Below are 22,210 nucleotides of genomic sequence, written 5' to 3'. Positions count from 1 at the left end.
ATTAGATTATGAAATACTCTTTTTCTTCTCCCTTAGGGTAATTTTGTACATTGGGGAAGATAAATATTACAGTAGACATATCCTTGTCTCTATGCACAAACTGGTTTTAGCCACAGTGGGTTCACCTGCATCCATGGACTTAATGTCTGTCTTTCCTCAACTTAAAAAAATGTGGGTAGCCATTGCCTTCCTTGCCATTTGTGCAGCACCTTTGCCTATAACCTCGATGGCAGTGATGTTTACTATACATCATCCACTCTGCCTCGGGGGTTAATAGAGTGCCCTCCCTTGGGAAATAAGGAGGAGACGAAGAGGATGATGATAGAGTTTGATGGTCGCCCTGTGGTGGATTATTTTCTGTCTTCCACAGCTGTCAGCAAACGCACCTCTGCCCCATGGACTTTGGATGTGGTCATTCATTGACCAATAGAATGAAGGTCAAAGTAACAATGGGCTGATTACAAGTGGAGGTGTTAGAAGACACACCTGGGGATTCTCACCTGCCACGGCCTGGAGTGTCTTTCACCAGGAAAGCTGCAGGTGCCAGCGATGGTGGCTTCAGCCTGGATTCTGGAAAGAGAAGCCTCACGGAGCTGAGCTGAACCCAGCACAGTTGAGCATAGGAGAGTCCAGCCGAGCTGCAGGAGACCCACAGCCTCAAGTAAAATGAGCAATCAATCAATCAATATTTTTGTAAGCCACTGAGATCTGGGAGGTGTTTATTCTATAGTAATGGCTGGTGGGTGTGATCACTCATAGTAATATAGAACTTACCACAAACTCTTTGTTCTAAGCACTTTATATCAATTGTATCATTTAATCTTAACAGTAACTACATGTGTTGAAAGTATTAGTATCCACATCTTACACATGGGGAAACTGAGGCACAGAGCGTCCACATAATTGGTCCAAGGGCACCGGCTGTCATGTGGCAGCACCAGGGCTTGAATCCTGGCAGCATAAACTTGATGGGAAGGACTGGCTTATACAATAGAGTGTGTGATCCTTAATCAGTTTTAGGGTGTACGTGGGACAGGTTCACTCAATGTTGCTGAAGAGGAAACAGGTTCAGAGAATGTCAAGTCCTCAACTTTAACATCAGACGGTGATGTAGCACTGGGTCTCCTTTCCTCCTCCGTTACCCCTCAGTCTGTTCTCAACGTAGCAGAAATGAGTCTGTGAAAACCGAAGTCACATCATGTCTGCTCCTAACCCTCCACAGCTCCCATCTCATTCAGAGTAAAGACAACATCCTCACCAAGACTGACAAGGACAGCCATCATCCTCCCTCCTCCCTGCCCTGACCTCACTTGTTCCTCCTCACCTCCTGGAGGCAGTGCCTGGCTCCCTCCCTCACCTCCCGGAGGCGGTGCCTGGCTCCCTCTTTAGCCCTGAAGATGGTGCATTGTTCCCTCCCTCACCTGCCAGAGGTAGTGCCTGGCTCCTCCCTCACATCCAGGAGATAGCACATGGCTACCTCATTCACCTCCAGGAGATAGCACATGGCTCCCTCATTCACCTCCAGGAGATAGCTCATGGCTCCTCCCTCACCTCCTAGAGATAGCACATGGCTCCTCCCTCACCTCCTAGAGATAGTACATGGCTCCTCCCTCACCTCCTGGAGGTGGTGCCTGGCCCTTCCCCCACCTCCTGGAGGTGGTGCCTGGCTCCTTCCTCACAACCTGGAGGTCATTGCTCACCTCCTTACTGCAGTGTCTTGCACCACCAGCCCTCCTCATCTCCCTCCCCAGTCTAAGCTTCTCCAGGGCACTTGTTTGATGAGCCATTCCACTTCCTGCTATAGATGCTTCCTGCTTTATTCTCAGTGTCTCTTCTGGAGAGTCAGCTTCATGAGTGTAGATGCCCATCTCAGTCACTGCTGTGTCCCCGGCACCTAAATGCACCTGGCACACAGGAGGATGGACTGGAGATGAGAATCCATGTGCCCAGACTCCTGGCTCAGTTCTCTTTCTATTCTGAATGGTAAATGGTCCCACAGTAGTTCATGAGCTCAGGATAAGATCTGCACAGAGAAAACACATACTGATGGACTGCTACCCATATGATCCCCATACGTTCCAGTTATTGGTTCTCAACCACCTCTACCTACCAGTCATTGTGCCAGGCATCAGTGATTTGCAAACTTTATAGGTTATTGTGACAATGACCTACAAGCTGGTTTTATCATGGCCATTTGTAAAGGAGGCAATGGAAGTTCAAAGAGGTGAAGCCACTGGTGTAAAGCCACACAGCAGTGCAGCCAGCTTGGAAGTTGACTGAAGCTGTATTACTGTTATAGATCAAGACCAGTATCCAGATGAGAAACCCCTGCTGGTGATTATATCCATTATTCTCACTCCAAACGACCCCAATTATGGAGGGACCCTCTGAGCTGAACTGGGCGCCAGAAGGTGGTAGGTGGTGGTGGGGGTAGGGGGTGAGGTATGAGTTCCACCCCGACTGATAAAAGAGGGTAAACAGGCCCAGCATCTTCCAAACACGCAGACCTTGTGCTTATGTCAACCCTTGATTAAGAAATAAATGTACTCTGTTTTTTTAAAAAAATCCAAACAACAAATACCTCAAGTTGAGAGAATAACCTAAGACCTTGACTTCATAGTAAAACATAATGTATTTGTTTTCTTTAGAGAAGATTGATTTCTCATCAGAAAATAGAGGAAATAAAATGGGAGAAAATTGGCAAATTATATAAAAGTGGCTTTAAGCTTTTTGCAACTTCAAACTATCCACAATCTGGTGAGATTGCTGCTATAATACATGACTGTTTGGGCCAAAATGGGCATGGCTCACAAATGGAAGCTTGTTTTGCTCCCACGTTGGAGTGTGGACCCCTCAGCTGACATTAACAATGCCAGTGTTTATTGTTATAATCTGCAGACAGGACCACACAAGGTGGCCAGAGGAAAAAGAAATAAAAAACAATAACAGCAACAACAACAATAACAAAAGCCTTATTTTTTCCAAAATGCTTTTAGGAAGCTGTTTCTTATGCCTCAGACTCCTAGAATCTCATGAAGGATGCAATTTCTTTGACATTGACCAACTCCACTTGCCTCTTAGAGGAGATGATGTGAGTAAAGCAACAGAAATTCACATGAAGGTGTAGAACATTGCTTCTGGGTCATCTTCAGATACATATTTGGGCAGAGAAAGGGAGGCCAGATAGTCCTATCTGCATATGAGTTCGGTAAGTGTTGTATTTACTCATTCTTCCTCTAAACAAATATTTTTAAATAAATTTTATTGGGTACATTTGAGGTTTACAGGTTTGCAACATGATGCTGTGGGATATATACAGAGAGTAAAATGGTTTCTAGAGTGAAGTCTGTGAACATATCTCTTATCTCACAGTTAGTTTTTCTGTGACGAGAGCAGCTGCATTGTACTTATTTAACAAAAACCCTAACGTAACATATTGTATTAAGCTCATTAACAAACGTTTTTGAGTGCCAACTCTGGGACAGTCATTGTTTTAGACATTGGGAATATGATGTTAAAATAGCACGCACAGTTCCTGCTCCCAAGGAGCTTATATAATATTATGTGTATGTGTGGGATGGGGCAGGTGTGTGGGGCGAGGGGGAAGGGGACAAGAATGCAAAGAACCAATGAAGGAGAATATAGCTGGTCAGGTAGGTTAAAGTATTATGGGGAAAATAACACAGAAGGTGCATAGCGAGTACCTATTAGTGGCAACTGTTATTTGAAAAGACAATATAAGCATGGGTCTCATGGATAAGCTGATGTTTGAGCTTGAACCTAAAAGAAATGAGCTTGGAGGGCTTGGGTCCTGGGGGAAAGGAATATCCCAGGTTGAGATAGCAGCAAAAGTAAAGGCCCTAATCAAGGAGTGTGCCTGACCTATTTGGGGTAGAGCAATAAGGACAGCATGCACCCAATGCCTTAAATGATGACTGTCCCAGAGTTAGCACCAGGGGAGCTGGTGGTGATGAGGTCAAGAGCTCTGAGTGAGGGTCTGATAGTGATGGCTTGGACCATGCTGTAAGGAGCAGCTGTGATAAATGCAGTTGTGAGTGTTGCCTGCCCACTGTGGGTCCCCCTTCCTGACAGCACATGCCATGTTTGCCCACACTCATTGGCCAGAACTAGCTAATGGCTTCGCTCAAAGACAAGACCTAGAATTATGTTTCTACTGTGTGCCCAAGAAGAGGGAAATCTGAAAATATTTGGCAAGCTGGTGTAATGGCCTCCATATCACAGATGCATACAGAAGTAGTTCTTTATTGTCAGGTATAAACAATCAAAAACATTTGGAGGGCATTATCTAGAGAAATAATGTAGCAATTCCAGCTAGGTAATTTTGCAGTCAGATAATGATATTTGGCATTTCTGCAATGATTGCCGTTAACGTTGAGGCATTTTAAAGTGACCTTTAATCTATTGCCTGAATTGGCAGCAGAGAGGGTGAACTTCTTAAAGCCACTCCAAGATTAAAAATGCATCCCAAGTGATGGATGTGTGTTTCTTCCTTGTTAGGCTACCCATGTATTCACCACTTTATATATTTCTCTGGCATTAAGCAGGCAGAAATGTTCCATTTATTCTTTCCTCTCTTCCCCTTGCCCTACTGTCTTAATGTTCAGGCTCAGAAATAATAAGACAGCTGCCTTTCCTGGCATAGAGAACTAATAGTGACAGATTCTTTACACATGCAAATATATCCTTAGTTATACTTTATAAATATAAGACGCTAGATGATAATGAATTTAATGTTTTAAGTATCATGCCTAATTTAATGACATCAGCTTTTAGTGATTCAGAAATCAACACACTTTCATTCTATTGGGTAAATACTAATCAAGTTGCAATGATATAGGGTAATGAATTAGGTCTCAGGGAAAGAAGAAATTCCCTTTGCTACCTGTGGTTTAAGCTTGTGTCATTCTTGAGGGCAACTTAGAATCCAGCCCACCACAGCATGCCGCTTGTTACTGCTGGGTGAAAATCAAAGTGGTTGAAAACAGTCTTCTTTGGCTCAGAGCTATAGCCCAATATCAGACATGGATAATTGGGTAAACAGCCAGATTTAAATGTGAGCAAATAATAGAATGTAGTTCAGGATTATTTGCCATGCAAAGATTTTCTGTGGAAATTGCACGTTTCTCCTTGGGAGCAGAGTCTGACCCATGAATTTCTCTCTGTGTGTGTACAGATATGCACATGTGCAAACACACGTGCCAATTCAGTAGAATTATCAACATTTTAATCTTCATCTCAATCGCGTGAAACAGGCTTTTTCATTATCTGCATGTTTAGAAGTGGAGGGAACCGGGATTTCGAGAGGCAGATTTTCTGCTTGCCCACATTCACTCAGAGAAGGAATGAGCTGAAATCCTATCAGATCTGTCAGTCACCAAGACATCCTGACGTCTCTGCAAAGATCACAGTGTTAGAGGCGGCAGGTATCCAGACAGAAGCAGGAGAGGGGAGCCCCTAAAAAAGGGAGGTCTGGAAAATCTCATGTCCCAGGGACCACCCGAAGCAGGTATGGTAGATAAAAGCAGAGAGGAGGGGAAATACCTAGGCAGAAAGGAACGTCTGTTCAGGTGCCCAGTATTCACCCACTCTGCAGTTAACTTGTCAGAACACAGCCAGATGCATGCTGATAAGAAGGAAAACAAGAAAGTCCTCAGAAAAAACCTGGTGCCAAAGTCCAAATTAAAACAGAGACAGGAATTCCAAGGCGAGAATGCAGGTGCAATAGGTACAGATTGAACCATTATATGACCTTTGTGGGGTGGCAGTCATGAGCAATGCAGCGGTTAGGTAGGATTCCTGTTCAGTATTGCCACACATGCCACACCAATTAACAGCAAGGAAGGGTCCCACCAGCCTGGGGAGGGAATGAGGTGGGGAAAAGGCAGGGACTTAAGGCAGGTGCAGGAAAACTAGACAAAGAGGCAGAAACTTAAGACAGAGGCAGTTACTTCAAAACAGATTCCCATTGGCCAGGCATGGTGGCTTACGCCTGTAATCCCAGCACTTTGGGAGGCCGAGGCGGGTGGATCACCTGAGGTCAGGAGTTTGAGACCAGCCTGGCCAACATGGTGAAACCCCATCTCTACTCAAAATACAAAAATTAGCCTGGCATGGTGGTGCATGCCTGTTGTCCCAGCTACTCAGGAGGCTGAGGCAGGAGAATTGCTTGAACCCAGGAAGTAGAGGTTGCAGTGAGCTGAGATGACTGCATTCCAGCTTGGGAGACAGAGTGAGACTTTGTCTCCAAAAAAAAGAAAAAAAAGAACCCAACAGACATAAAACCCCAACACAGAACTCTCACGCTGCTGCTGGCACCCTCACTTCAGCAGCCCACTCTGCCATATCCTTCCAGAGTGTACTGTCTCCCTCTAAATAAGCTCTCTGCTCTCTATTTTCCTTCAATATGTTCTCTTTGTGGCTAAATCAGTCGCTTGGCAGAATGCTTTCTTCCAGGTTAGACAAGAACTGGGATCTCTGCTCTCCCCAGCAACAACAGGACTGTTGAAATCATTCACAGCAGAAGGTACTCTCGGGAACTGTCAAGGGTGGTATTTCTTTTCCCTCCTTGCTCTATACTAGGCTCAAGTCTATGGCAGAGTTTCCCTGGCAAGAGACGCCTCCAAGCTTGTCCCATGCTGGTTCTTTAACCCAGTGCCTTATTTGGCGTGTCTCTGCACGCTCTTCCTCAGAGAATCAGATGACAATGAGGGTGTTTTAGGAGCTCCAAAGCCCAGGCAGATACCATCATATGGATGGTTTCAGCACCTTCTATTTCTCAGCAAATAGGAAAAAAATCCTACAAGAAAAATTTGAACTGAAAATACAATATCTGAAATTAAATATTCAGTAAATGTGCTCAATAGAAGAATAGAGATGACAGAAGAAAAGTCAATGAATATAAAATAAAATCCAGTGTGAAGTACAGAGAAAAACAAAGAATATATTTTATGAAATCAATAGAGCCTCATGACCTATGGGGCAATATCAACAGTTTTGAAATGTGCATAATTGGAGTCATAGAAGGACTAGAGATGTAAACTAAGCCAGAACAAAACTGCTGAAAAACTCATGGCCAAAATGTCTTATATTTGTTAATAGAAATGAATTCATAGATTCCAGGACTTTAAGTAGAATGAATTTAAAGAAAACCTCACCCAAACACATCATCTTAAAACTGCTGAATACCAAAGACAAAGAGACAATCAATCAAGAAAGTAGCCAGAGAAAATGACACATTGGATAAAGTATGATGTGACTGATGGCAGATTTCTCCTCAGAAACCATGGCAGCCAGAAGACAGTGGAAAGACCCTGTTAAAGTGATGACGAGGAGGAAGCAAAACAAAGGAAAAACAGACTGAATGTCGTGGTTCATGCCTGTGGTCCCGATACCTTGGCAAGCTGAGGAAGAATGATCACTTGAGCCTGGTAGGTTGAGGCTGCAGTGAGCTATGAGTATACCACTGCACTCCAGCCTGAGAGACCGACTGAGACCCTGCCTCTAAAAACAAAAATAAAAACAAACAAAAATACCTTCAATTCAAAGTTAGACTCTCAGTGAAAGTATACTTCAGAAATAAGAAAAAAATAAAGATGTTTTCATGTAAGGGAAAATTAAGGAATTTTCATCAATAAAGCAATGCACTTTATTGATGAAAAATGCAATTAGAAATGTAAGTGGTAAGATAAGTCTGAATATATCCGGACATCTAACCTAGCTTGAAGAAAACTTTTTTTAATCTAAAAAACTAAATGTAGGCCTTCATGATTGTATGATCTGGACCCTGATTCTGCTCACAACTGCCCTGAAGTGATAAACCAATGGGAATATCTGGGTTCTGCTTTCTGTTTGCAGCAGAGAGTTACTGAGCAGGTATGTGGATTGACAGACGGAAACAGGATAGCAATAAGTATAATACAACAGCAGTGTTTTTTGAGCATCTTGTGTGTGCTGGACCCTCGGCTGCATACGTGGTGTGCAATCTTTCCAGCAGCCCTTTGGTAAGTGCCGTTATTGACTCTCTGTTACAGACAAGGGTGCTGGAAATGCAGAGAGATGATAGCTAGCATGGCATCACTTTGCAAAGGCAGTGGGAGATTAGGACTCCAAATAGGATCTAGCCGTTGAGGCTGTAGAATTTCTACATGAGGTTATAGAAAAAAACAAAAAAAAAGAACTTCCCCCCTCTCCAAATACACTGAAATCCCCTGAAAGGGGTGCACATTTGGGTACACTGCTTCTGAACCAGGTGCAAATCCCCATATTTGGACCTCAAGATTACAAGGTAATTATTCAGAGCAAAAGTTGGTCAACTACAGCCTACGGCTAAATCCAGTTTGCTGTTTTGCTATTTGTTAATAAAGTCTTTGTGGAGCTGAACCACTTGCATTTGTTCGTGGCTGCTTACATTCTAGAGCAGCAGAGGTAGGGAATTGTAACAGACACCCTGCAGCCCACAGAGTCTAAACTTATTCCATGGATCTTTGCAAAAAATGTTTGTGGAAGCCCTCACTTACAGACATCCAAAGCAATGTACAGCAAAACTGAAGACTGTGGAAACTCTGTCTCCCTCTCTCGGACTGTTTTCTCCCAAGGCATCTATGCTTTGTGAAACAATCTAATACTGCAAAATATTTTATTTTCTGTTTTTCAGTGTAAGAAAATGATGTACGGAGACTCTAAGCTTCCTTTCTGCCTGTCTCCACAGTTGTCCATTTTACTGGCAAAACTGCATGCTTGTTAGTACTCACAACACAGAACTGATGACCAGGGCTTTTCCTCTGTTCTGATGATACTAAGAGAATTAATGTGGAAAATATTTGTGGCCAAACATCGTGTGCATAGCCATGTTTGGTCGGTTTCTATTAATTCCATTCACAAATCATAGATTAAAGTGGAAGCAAAAGCAGTGATGAGAGAATAGTGAATTAGCAATTTATCCCTGGGTTGTTACAATTTCATCCATTGCCAAGGTGGCACCTTTCTCTCTGTCTCTCTTCATATGAAGTTTCCTCTCAGATCCCCAGTTGTTCAAAACCAAAGGGAACTTGATATCCCTGCTCTTGAAATGCAGGTGTCATGTCACGAGGAAGACAGTGGAGAGACCCATGTGAAGAGGAAGTGGCCCCCGGCCAGTGTCCAGTCTGAGCTCCCAGAAAGAGCCAGCACTAACTTGCCCACTATGTGAGTGAGCCATCCGGGATGCAGAACCATTCAGCCATCCCATCTGACCCTATGTGGACAGAGCCTCTACAGCTGGATACAGGACAGTCACAGCTCCCTTCACCCCCTGCTTTCTGTTTACTATTCATCTGGGTCAATAATGTTGGCTTATCTCTTGTTTATAATGAGGAAAAGACTCCAGTTGTTGCAAAATAGGTTCCCATCAAAAATGAACCCATTGTGCAGATGGTGAAGATCCAGAAACTACAAGACAGATGAAGCCAATCAAATATTCCGAATACTGACGACCACCTGGCCGACAGGCTTGGTTTCTGACAGGAGTACTTACAATCACTATAGGCAAGCAAAGCTCCAGTGTGAAGGCGGAAACTATATTGCAGCAGAGGCATGACTTAAAATACAGAGAAAATATGGCCCCTGGAATTTCTTTTTGCTAATTAATGAAAAAGACAAGATGTCAACTTTGTTAAGATGTAATTTAAATAGGATAAAGTGTCCAGCTTGAGTATACAGGTGGATGGGTTTGGACAAATGCATGTGTCGGTGTAACTATTGCTCCATTGAAAGTCTAGCACATTTCCATCTGCTCCGCTAGTTCCCTCTCGCCCTTCACAATGACCCACTAGTTCCCTCTCGCCCTTCACACCTGACTCCACAGGCAATGATCAGATTTCCTCACTTTCATAGATTGCCTTTGCCTGTTCTGGAACTCCATGTTATTGAGGTCAAACGCCACTTAACCTTTCGTGTCTGGCTTCTTTCAGGCAACACAATGCTTTTGAGGTCCAGCTATCGAGTACATTAGTGCTCTGCTGATTTCTTACTGACGAATTAAATTACATGCATGTATCTCAGCGTGTTAATTCAACTACCGATGGATTGGGTCATTTCTACCTTATGTGTATGTTTCATTATTATACATAAAGCTTTAAAAAATCAAAGTGACTAAATCATGGTGAGATCAGGAGTTCGAGACAAGTCCGGCCAACATAGTGAAACTCCGTCTCTACTAAAAATACAAAAATTAGCTGGGCATGGTGGCGGGTGCCTGTAATCCCAGCTACTGCGGAGGCTAAGGCAGGAGAATCACTTGAACCCGGGAGGCGGAGGTTACAGTGAGCTGAGATCACACCACTGCACTCCAGCCTGCGTAACAGAGCAAGATTCAGTCTCAAAAAAAAAAAAAAAAAAAAAAAAAAAAGAAAGTCATCTAGGGCATTTCTACAGTTACCTCCAGGATCTGTCCAGATACATTCAAATACAGTGTTGTGAGTTACAGAGATAGGGCTGGAGTCATTATGTACTGAGCCATAATTCCAGGTATTATGCATCTGTAATTTCTGACTTAATATCTTAATTAATCCTCCTTGTACTGCTGTGAGGTTCACAGTCACCCCCATGAAAACAGATGCAATCATTTCCTACATAGAACTGGGTTCCATTGCCATGTCTGGGATGGGGCCCACCTTTCCCAGTGTCCTGTCTGCAGGATCTCCAGACCCAACTCAGAACATTCCTTTCCATCTTCAAACAGTCTCTCTGATCCTTTTTAGAGGAAAGCATTCCAGAAGAGACTTCTGCATTTGAGGTTATCATTTCCTCACCTCTCATTATTCTTCACCCCACAGCAGCCTGGCTAGTCCGGCCAGTTGCTGATACAGTTATGATAAAGTCACCAGGGACCCATATGTTGCTCAGATAACTGAAGATACAATTGCTTTTTCAGCAGACCTCAATCTAGGTGACCGCTGCCTCCCTCATGGAAGCTCTGCTGCTACTCCTGTCTGTTCATTCACAGCCTTCTTTGTCCTTCTTTCTCCACTGGACAGCATAGAACTATTCTATAGCCCCAGAGCTTGACTAGAGGCCTTTCTTTTTGCACTCTCATTTAATACAGAGCTGAGGCCTGTGTCGTCCTTCTATCACCAAGAGCTGTGTGACTAGGCAAGTTGCTTCGCTAGGCTCCAGTTTCCTCGTTTGTTAAGCATTGATCACGATAGCACCAAACCCAAAGAATCATTGTGGAGAATAGATGAGTTCATAGCACTAAACACATCTATCAGTGTCTGGACTATGGTGACTGTCCAGTACTATCAGTCATTATCTCATCCTACTCCTTTGACAACGTAAATAAATTTAGGGAAGAGTGTTCTAAGCAGAGGGGGACAGAAAATGTCAGAGAAGCCCCTGAAGTTGAGGGTAGGGACTAGTGAAGTGTGTTTGAAGAAGGGAAAGAAAGTCGGCATGGCTGGAGAAGACACACAAGGGGAAGTGGTCGAAGCAGCCAGGTGGTCATGAACAGCCAGCACACACAGGGCCAGGTAGGAGAAGCGAGAGGTGAGGGCTTGGCATTTATTCTCAGTCCATTGGGATGTCATTTGTGGGTTTTTATTAGGGAAATGTTATGACCTTATTTAAGTTTTAAAATCACCACTTTGGATGCCTTGTGGCTTATGTTATAGGAGCCAGATTGGACACAGGGGGCGTGTTTGGAAGCTGTCCAGACTGATCCAGGCTACAGGAGGAGTGCAGGCAGAGAGAGGGAGACAGAGCCAGGGTGCAGTTCCACAATCCAGAAAAGGGACTGTGTACTGCACAAGCATTTACAGAAAGTGACAGGCCCAGTCTCAGGCACTGCAGGGCGGGGAGTGCGGCCTCCTGAAGCCAAGCAGGGACACAGGCTTGGAGGCCATCCTGTGCTGGATGCGGGGTTCAGGCATTTAAGGTGCTTGGAAGGCCGGGGCTGAATGGACTGTTTCATGTTTTGATAGCAATGCCTTGCCCACTTTGATTTTAGTGTGTGTGTGTGTATGTGTGTGTGTGTGTGTGTGTGAAATGCTACAAATGAACACCCAGAGGGGCAAAGCCAAGTGAGAGAACTGTCATTAAGAATCCAGCAAAACACTGATGTTCATTGTGCAAATTGACACATTCATTTGGAAGTCACTTTGCAGTCCCCATAGAAATGTTAAGTGTTCAGGCACTCAGAACCAGCACTTTCACCCTGAGGGACTCAGGCGAAATGATCACAGTGTGATCTCAAACTTGATGAAATACATGTGCACAGGAGGCAGGGCTAATTGGTTTGGAGGGCACTGAATTCTAGTGAACCTTAGCTTAATCCCCCGCAGCACTATGCTGTACCTGAATTGGCACCTCCTTATGTCGTGGAGGCTCAGTTTTCTTATCTGTAAAATGGGAACACTAATATGAATCATTCATAGGATTGCCGCACGAGTTCAATGAGGTTTTGCAAGACAACACTTTAGCAGGCCTGCAGTAGAATCCACCCATGTAGGCAGGGGCTGTGATGGGCCCCGTGGAATGCACAGTGCCTGGCCCAGGGCTCTGGACACAAGTGTGTAGACGGCTGCGGCTGCACCCTGCATCCCCCGCCTCCCAAGGTGACGCAGTCACTGTGAGAGCAAAACCAGCCACTTCCCTTAGAAGCCCTGAGCCTCCTTTATGGTCACCTCTCAGGTGTGCATAAAGCACACCTGAGTTTCTGGAACCTCTGCCTCTTCCTTGCTGGTGGAATACCTCCTCGCAGAGGCCTGGGCTCTGCATCCTGAGAGATCACTGGAGGGGCTGGATGAGAAGAACCAAAAGTGCAGAAAAATGCAGTCCCAATGGAGGGACTCTGTTCAAAAGAAAATGAGAGATGGGCACACAAACACTCCTCCTTAAGCCAGGGTTAAGCCAGGGTTTCCCTGGGCGGTGCCACACCCCACAGAAATCCTGCGTGCCAAGTGCATGCATGGCCCGCTGAGCAGGCTGCTGCCTCTCTGTGCTTGCCCTGCAGGGGGAGCTGGTGTGTAACACAGCGCTCTGCCTCATGGCTCATCTTCCTTTGCCTCATTTGCATTTGTCCTCATCTTTGCTATCCTACGCATGCAGCTCAGGGATCAAGCAGCAGCTTTGTGGATCCTCACCTGGGCTCTTCCTGGAGAACCCTGTGTTGGGTGCACAGTATCAGGAGATGGTAGGATTGCATAGGCACTTGTGGAATGATGGAGTGGAATCTCAGGTGTGACTATGAGAGGCATCAGTGATAAGGTGAGTGTGAGATGGGGGTGGGGAGTGGGAGAGGGGGAAGAGACCGCCTAGCCATGATCACAGCACAAATACCCTGAGGCTGGAATGGATGGAGATCAGCACAGGTGTGAGCCAAGCTTGATGCTGGAAAACAAAACGAGGGAAGGAAGGCAAACCCAGTGATGGGATCCTTGAAACACGAGGCTTAGGTCCTCCAGGTACTAGAACGAAGAGAATCAGAGTTCAGGAAGACAGACAGAGGCTTCATGTAGATGAATACACTGGGAATGGTGGAGTCGAGAAAACAGAAGAGGAGCTCTTGAGGGAGTGCCGAGGAGTGAGGGGTGGAGAGGGCCCTGAGTGTGGCCATCGGAACATAGTTTTCCGTAGACGCCCCAACACTGTTCCCGAGCACTGTCTCCCCATGAACCCTCCCACAGAGGTTTGCCTCGTCCCCCCAGTTACTAGCTGTTGACTAGACACATCTCTAGGATGGGTGTGGCTCTCTTCTGGAGACCCTGGGGGATCCAGAGAAATAAGGGCTGGGGTCCCAACCCCCAGTTTCCCAGGATACTCAAGGGAAAGGAGACTACTTACCGGCATGATGTCTTTTGGGGCTGCCTCAAAGCATCCTGTACTGATGCACTGAGGGGGGCCACAGAATTGTCTAGCCTCTGGGAGTCTGAGGTTTTCCCCAGAAGACATGGTTGGATGAGGGAGGTTTGGTGGGAGGTGACAGCTTCAGATAGCCTGGGCCTTCTTCAGCTTTCCTAGTGTCCTGTTTGCAGGATCTCCAGACCCAACTCAGAACATTCTGCGTACAGAAACCTCAGCTTAGAGAGGGTAAGGCATGTGAGAACCAGAGCAGCTACACTGGACAACCCATTAATGAGCTGCCTCATTGCGGCAGCCACATACACACCAGATCAGCCACACTGGACAACCCATTAATGAGCAGCCACATTGGAGCAGCCCCATACACATCAGAGCAGCCACACTGGACAACTCATTAATAACATGTGTGTGTATAACGTGTGTGTGTGTGTGTGCACATGGGAAGAGAGTATATATATACACACACACACATACTGTCATTAATGGGTTGTGTGTATGTGTGTGTATATATATGTGTGTGTGTGTACACACATACATATCTATCTATATCTGTATACAGATATAGCATAAGTTCTGGTCTGAGTCTGAGGCCTGGGCATGTGGAGTACCAACATCTCAGAGTAGAAGGTGGATGTCCCAACTCAAACAGAAAGAACAAGCCTGCCCTTCCTCCACCCTTTTGTTCTATTTGGACCCTTAGTGAATTGGAGGATGCCTGCACACATTGATGAGGGTCATCTTTATGCAACCCACTGATTCAAATAATATTTTCTTCTAGAAACACACTCACAGACATATGCAGGAATAGTATTTTACTGGCTATCTGGGCATTCCTTAGCCCAGTCAAGTTGACACATGGAAGCAGCTAGCATGGTGAGAGCACGTTGGGTGCTGGCATTTACTTTCCATTGCAGTACAGTGTGACACTCAAGCTGTCTCCTGTTTACTGATACTGATTGGTCAGGGGGGTTCAGTAATAGCCAAATTGATCCAGTGATTGAAAAGTCATCATCTGCTATTAATGGTTTAACAAACCCTAATGACCTATGGATATATATATATATATATATATATATATATATATATATCTTTATATATATATCTTTATATATATATATCTTTATATATATATATCTTTATATATATTTATATATATTATTATATATATCTTTATATATATCTTTATATATCTTTTTATATATCTATATATCTTTATATTTTATATATTTATTAAATAATAAATATATATTAATAATAATATATAATATATATAATATATTATTATATATATTATATATAATAATAATATTATATATATTAAATATATAAATATACATATATATATTTGCCAGAGATTTAAAAGTAATGGTTTTCTAAAATTCCTTCATAATTTTAGGCAGAATTTGTCTTTAAAAAAATGCCTGGCCAACTCTTTGGCTATGCTGAAGTATAGCTCATGCAGAAAATATGAGATAAGCACATTTTTTTTTTGAGACAGAGTCTTGCTCTGTTGCCCAGGCTGAAGTGCAGTGGTGCATTCTCAGCTCACTGCAACCTCCACCTCCTCGGTTCAAGCAATTCTCCTGCCTCAGCCTCCTGAGTAGCTGGGATTACAGGTGTGCGCCACCATGCCAGGCTAATTTTTGTATTTTTATTAGAGACGGGGTTTCACCGTGTTTGTCAAGCTGGTCTCAAACTCCTGACCTCAGGTGATCCATCTGCCTCAGACTCCCAAAGTGCTGGGATTACAGGCATGAGCCACCGTGCCCAGCCAAACACGTGTTTTTTACACCTTACTACTAGCTTCTGGAATAATAGGTTTGTTTCTTAACATCCTCTAAAGGCTTTGAGGAAGTAACAAGCTTGGTGTGTTTGAGGGACGAAGGGGAGCCTGCTGCAGATCCAAGTTGAAGAAGCAGAAGGATGGCAGTTAGATAAAAAGCAGGGTCTTGATCTCCATCTTAGAATATTTTGATTATAAAACCGAGATTGTTTTCATGACCTCAATTGACCAGGAGAGTGTCCACTATCTAATAGTTTGGAAAAGGTCATCAAATCTTCTGGGGTTTTTATACAGAAACAGTGAGAAAATGCTCAATTCATAAATTTGAAAGAGGCAGGGAGAGACGAAGTAACATTATGTTTTGATCCCATGCTACAGTTTGATATAATTTGATAGTCAGTGTACCAGATGTGCTTGGATTTGGGAGGAGCTAGAAGACACTGCATCATGAACAAAGTTACAATTGCAAAACTATGATCACTGTTTCCTCTTCTGTCCCACCTGCTACCAGAGTCCCCTCCCAGTGGGGCTGCGGCCATGCTGAGCTGAGCTCTGTCTTCTCTGTGGATTCACAGTCCCAGGCTCGTGACCACGAAGAGGACCTGGTGAGGGTCAGAGATGGGGACTCACTGAGCCAGGTGCTTCTTCACCCACCTCACTTCAGGTGCGCTTTGGAGCAGGTAGGACAGGTGCCCTCAACTTTATTATTTTACACGTGGAGAAATAAAGCAGGTAGGGTCATGCAACAGCACTGTGAGCTGGAGGAAGATCTGGACCCCTCTGGCCACAGGGGCACTGTTGCTCACTTCAGTACTCAAAAGGGGATGGTTCCTGGCTGCCCTTGGTGGAGGAGAGTGACCCTGTGATGCTGTATGGTTGAGGACGATAGATAGTTCAGCATCACTGGCTATGCCATTCATGAAATGCTTTAGCTGGAGTAAGTATGCAAATTTTTTTTAAAACCCTCAAACTCCCTAGAGTTGAGAGTCTTCCCACGCACCTCCAAAACTCTTGTGAAAAACCACCAATTTCACCCCAACAAGGAGAGAGAAGAGGCCCTGGGATTGGGAGAGAGAGTTGTGATATTTCAGCAGGTCCTGAATCCACAGAGTCAACCACTGCCCTGCACTCATGCATTTTCATCCCATCGATGCTGTTAGATGCAGTCCATTTAGCGTGACATCACAAGATGGAGGAAGAAAAGCCCAGAGAGCTCATTATCAGGAGCTGTCTAGGAAGGTGTGGGAACAAGTTCTGAATTAATTAAACTTTCACTTGAATAATGAACGCATGCTATTTTATTGCTGAGCTGCTCCAAGATAAGCAAGGAGGCTCCCTCCTGTGGAATGCCTGGTGGCTGGGGGCCTGCCGTTCTCAGCTTGGAAGAAGTGAGAGAGTTCTTTTTAACTCCCTATTGGAGCAAACACACACATCTGGCACATTGTAGGGTGACTATCAGCTCTTCTCCTGACACATGGCTTGGGGTCGGCTGTGCATCATTTTGGCCATCCATCTGCATATTTTGAGGGTGCTCACTGCTGTAAGCACTACAGGCACCTAAAATCTGGTGATTTAATCTCCATCCATTATATCTTAGTTTGTCATGGAGCAATGGTTTATTGCAATCTCTACTTTTACCAGGCAGTGAAACCAAGAGGGATAGCATTCTGTCAGGCGCATTAGCCTATGGCAGGTGCAGTAGGAGCCTCTGCTGAGGGAAGGGCATTCTCACAAAATGTTTACATTCACTTGCTTGCTGTCAGCCTGGGTTCTGAGAAAGGGTGGATGTTTCTGACCTGGAAAATGATTATTTGTACTCACAGTTGGCTACAGGGGCTTGAAACTTTTACAGGCCATTTACAGGTTGACAAAACGAAGCTTCACTTGCATATTTTCCTTATAAACTCATGGCAGATGGTGGTTGCACCTCTCGCAAAGGATGTGAAGAAGTCAGACAGATTTCCACACCCCTTCATTCCCACATCACCATGGGTTTTGCTCCATCTGGCAATGTGGTTTCATTGAATTTGTTCACTCCATAGCAGTTCTTACCTGAATAAAAGCATAAGAGGTGTTCGTCCAATTATCTTAATTTGGTTCAAAAGAACACACACCAGCACTCAAAAGAATCACATTGAGTAAAGTTATTATAAGACAGTGATGTTGAGGCCCGGTGCGGCGGCTCATGCCTGTAATCCCAGCACTTTGGGAGGCTGAGGCAGGGGGATCACTTGAGGCCAGAAGTTCAAGACCAGCCTGGCCAATATGGTGAAACCCCGTCTTTACTAAAAATACAAAAAGTAGCCAGGCATGGTGGCGCACATCTGTAATCCCAGCTACTTGGAAGGCTGAGGCATGAGAATCGCTTGAACCCAGGAGGCAGAGGTTGCAGTGAGCTGAGATCGCGCCATTGCACTCCAGCCTGGGTGACAGATTGAGACTCTGTCCCAAAAAAAAAAAAGAAAAAAGAAAAAACAGTGATGCTAAAGCCACCATTACAGGCTTACTCAACATAGGCAGTATTCCCCATTTTGAAATTTTGGGGTCTCTGGACAGGCAGTATGCAACCTGAGATCCTCTGGGTGTATCTTCTTCTCTGACTTTCACAGATATTAGAATTTCACAGAATCCCTGTTTCTTTGGGCTCCTCGGTGCTACTTTGTATTAGTATCAAGTAACAAAATATTCAACTAGGAGACTGTAAACAAGAGGAGATATCTCATATATCAAGAAGCTGAAAGCCGGGGTCTTAGGGTTGGCTCAGGAGTTCTCCTATGTTTCTAGGACTCCAGGCTCTTTCTTTCTTCTCTGCACCCTCCGGCATGTCGTCTGGCTTAACCTTATCTTCTCATGGCCACAATATGGCAGCCAGAACTCCAAGTATCACATCCTCACCCATTCACATCCGAAGGCAATAAGATGGCAAGTTTTTTGTCTTCATCCTCTCTCACGCCCCTTTTTGTAAGCAGGAAAAGCTGTACAGAAGGTCTCATTGATATCTTTGCAGGTCCCATTGACCCATATTGGGTCCCATGTCATCTATGAAGAGCCTGGGAAAGTGGCTGTGTGTCCAGCATCGATTATTACAGGATGCTGGCTGCATCAACCAGAAGGAAGGAGAAAGAGAGCTATGAGCAGGCACTCCAGAGCATTGTTGCCCAGGAAAATCCTTTTAATCCAGGTTTCCCCAGTGAGAGGTCACTGATTAAGCTTCATCAGTCATCATTTTCTGTGTGAATGAATTCCCATCCCTCTTTCCTTCTGGCGGGATCATCAAGTCTGATGAGGCTGGGGAAGAGGTTTGCGGCCAGTGGAGCAATGAGGCTGTGTGGGGAAGGTCCCCAGAGAGGTAATTCGGCTGTCTGTCAAAAGGACAAGGATACTCAGAGCTGCAGCCTGGAGGCCTGAGGCCTGAATCCAATGCACTGACCTGCCGTGTTCAAACTGTACAGAAACAACGAAAACATTATTTGATTTAACAAAATTAGGAGCTCCTCAGAACCAAGAGGAATGGGGGACGCTAAACGTGGACTGGCCGCTACTGCTAGCCAAGCTGGCCAGTGAGGACATGGTGGACACAAGGCTGTCACCTGTGTGACGTGAGCTCAGCAGCTCATGTACATTTCGCTTCATGCCCACCTCGCCAGCCTGCACTTCCCACACTCCAGCCCCTGTGTACCCGTAACACAAGATCACTCTGAGTACCCAGCACTCCCTTGCGTAGGTTTGGCCATGTCTGACAGCGCATGCTGTTAATCTGTGTACCCATGCATGCACAAAAACACAAACACACACAAACACATCTTTAAAGTGACATAGGTTTTCTTGAAATAATTTCAAAAGACACATTTTTTATTATTTTAAATAGAAGGTCACCATCACTTGCCACAAACAGAAGACATGCAAAACCATATTAAAACAAAATGTTTAAGAATTCCAGCCAGATTTAGTTTCTTGTCAAAGCTCTCTGCCAGAGGCCTGTGTCCTTTTGCTATGGAAGAAGACTGGGACCAGGAGCAGTGGCTCACTCCTGTAACCGCAGCACTTTGGGAGGCTGAGGCCTATGGATCACCCGAGGTCAGGAATTTGACACCAGCCTGGTCAAGATGGCAAAACCCCACCTCTATGAAAAATACAAAAATTAGCCGGGCCTGGTGGAGGGCATCTGTAATCTCAGCTACTAGGGAGGCTGAGGCAGGAGTGTTACTTGAGCCCGGGAGGCGGAGGTTGCAGTGAGCCGAGATCATGCCACTGCACTCCAGCCTGGGTGATAGAGCAAGACTCTGTTTCAAAAGAAAGAAAGAAAAGGAAGGAAAGAAGGAAGGAAGGAAGGAAGGAAGGAAGGAAGGAAGGAAGGGAGGGAGGGAGGGAGGGAGGGAGGGAGGGAGGGAGGGAGGGAGGGAGGGGAGAGAAAGACAGAAAGAAAGAGAAAGAAAGAGAGAGAAGATCGGCAAGGGTTAAAGGTAAAAGGTACACTTCCATGAGAATGACTCAAAGATAATTAATGTGAAATTATTCTGTGATTAAAATAATTCTGTGACTGTCTAAGTATCTAAATCATCTCCTGTCCCAAAGATGACCATCACCCATTCCACCAGGGGTCTGTTCCCCGCCTTCTATGACACAGGGCCCCTGGAGAATAGAAACCCACTTTTATGAATGGGCAGATGCATGGGTAATGCAGCTCCAGGAGTTTCTGTCTGCCGTGATGGGAACATTTTCTGACAAGATGCAAATGAAGCTGCCTCAAGTGCTCCAGAATTATTATTCATCCACAAATAACCTCATCTTAAGCCATTACTTTCTAAAATTTTTTTACTCGTTCTTTTGAAAATGGTAAGCATACAGTCTTGTCTTTGGAGCAAAGTTTGGATCCAAAACTTTACTGCACGTATTTGAATCTAATTGTTCAGTTTCTCAGGTTTTAAAAAAATTCATCCTGAAAAATCTTTCTTAATTCAAGTGTTTTTCTCCAAAGAGTAACATATGTTATGAGGAGGTGAGCTGTGGCTATAGCATTCTGCTTGTGTTTTATACCAAACTGTTACGGGATCTAAGTTTCATCTCTGGGATGGCGATAATATTCAGAATGTCACATTTTGGTGTTTTTTTTTTTCAGATGCAGTGGTTTGAGACATAGTAACTGAAGATATGGACACTAAATCCCTCCATATTTCTATACAGTGAAAAATCAATAATGGTAATTGGAATCTCTGTCTCCCTCAGCCCTGATTTATCCTTCCTCTTTGTGGTTTATACTTTCCATGTATGAACCATAAAACTGTAATGGAGAAACATTTTTGCCTATGAGGAGCAAAGAGAGCTGCTTTGCTGAATGACTGTGAGTAAATGAGGATTCTTTGAAGAAGTGCAGGGCTTCTGTTCCTCCGTGTTGTGGGCAGCACACGCCTGCCCTATTCGTCTTCGTCATGGCTGCACCTGTGCTACAGAATGCTCATAGACTAGTGCTGCCCATGCAGGGAGCCCAGAGGCTGCACTTTCTCAGTTTACCTCATGGCTTCAGAGTGACATGAGGCATTGAAATAAGTGAGCATTGAATCTGAGGGCTCAGGAGCCACCTTCTACCTTTGCTCCTTTGGTGACATGCTAGATGCCCTCTGGTAAGTCAGTTAAATTCTTTGGGCCTCCTCTGAAAATTGGATCCAATGAGGCCAACACTTCCTGTTTCACAGGGTTACATGGGGCTCACATGCAATTCAAGAACAAACTTTGTAATACGAGGCAAAAGATACACAAACAAGCATGTACATTACTCAGACAAAGGCTTGGTCCTATGAGACAATGGGGCATGTTCTCATAAGATTCCTGTGAACTTTGTAGGCTCTTGGGGCTACAGGAAAACAATTTTAATTGAAGAGAGAAAGAAGAATGAGACCAGGATGTGGCCATGGGTGATCTCAGCTACAGAGCATCCTGCCCAAGAAGCCTTGGCACAGTCCACGTGATGTCATGCCCCAGAGTTAAAGAAACTAGTAACTCACTGCAATTCTTGAGTTTATAAGATGACAGACAAAAAAGAAACAACGTGTGGAGATGTTGAAACTCCCTCTGCTTATGAGATAAAAAGAACTGGCTGAAATTGGTTGGAACCAATGTGGCCAAATAAAGTCTGCACAGAACAAGCTTGCTGATGTCACAGCCTGAATTTCAACACAAGTTTCATACTAACTACCCCCAAATTTGCACATGAGACCCATGAGGAGGTATGAAGAGATAACTGTGTGAGGCTGAGGACTTTCCAGACCTCCCTTTTCCTTCTACCAATTACCTACTAACCCCAGAATCCACCCCTAAACCTTTTCTAATAAAATTACTGCCTTAAAGCCAGCACAGGAAGACAGATTTGAGCTGTACTTCTGTCTCCTTGTTGGTTGATGTACAATAAAAAGCTTTTATATTTTCTCAAAAAAAACAGTGTCTTGGTATTGGCCTCTAGTGCACTGGGCAGTGATCCCCTTTGGCCGATAACACATACACAGGGTAGGCAGCAGCCATGGCTTAACTTTGGGTGCCGTTTTCTTGTTAGGCCACTTGAGCCTTGGGTGGCTAAAT

The 22,210-nt window shown here is 44.6% G+C and overlaps 1 long non-coding RNA gene across 2 annotated transcripts; it reads left to right on the top strand.

Annotated features, from left to right (window-relative positions):
• The first annotated feature begins 2,927 nt into the window (after positions 1-2,927).
• On the top strand, positions 2,928-22,070 carry LOC124903050 (uncharacterized). 2 transcript variants are annotated; one of them, XR_007063522.1, is made up of 4 exons: positions 2,928-3,208; positions 16,149-16,301; positions 18,645-19,714; positions 20,757-22,070. It is a non-coding gene; the product is annotated as an uncharacterized LOC124903050 (long non-coding RNA). The 2 variants fall into 2 exon arrangements; XR_007063523.1 differs by lacking the exon at positions 18,645-19,714.
• Positions 22,071-22,210: the final 140 nt, after the last annotated feature.

This window comes from Homo sapiens, chromosome 12 (assembly GCF_000001405.40).
Source record: "Homo sapiens chromosome 12, GRCh38.p14 Primary Assembly".
NCBI classification, from domain to species: domain Eukaryota; kingdom Metazoa; phylum Chordata; class Mammalia; order Primates; family Hominidae; genus Homo; species Homo sapiens.
Note: the sequence above shows the minus strand (reverse complement) of the source record. Positions and strands in the feature narration are given on the sequence as shown.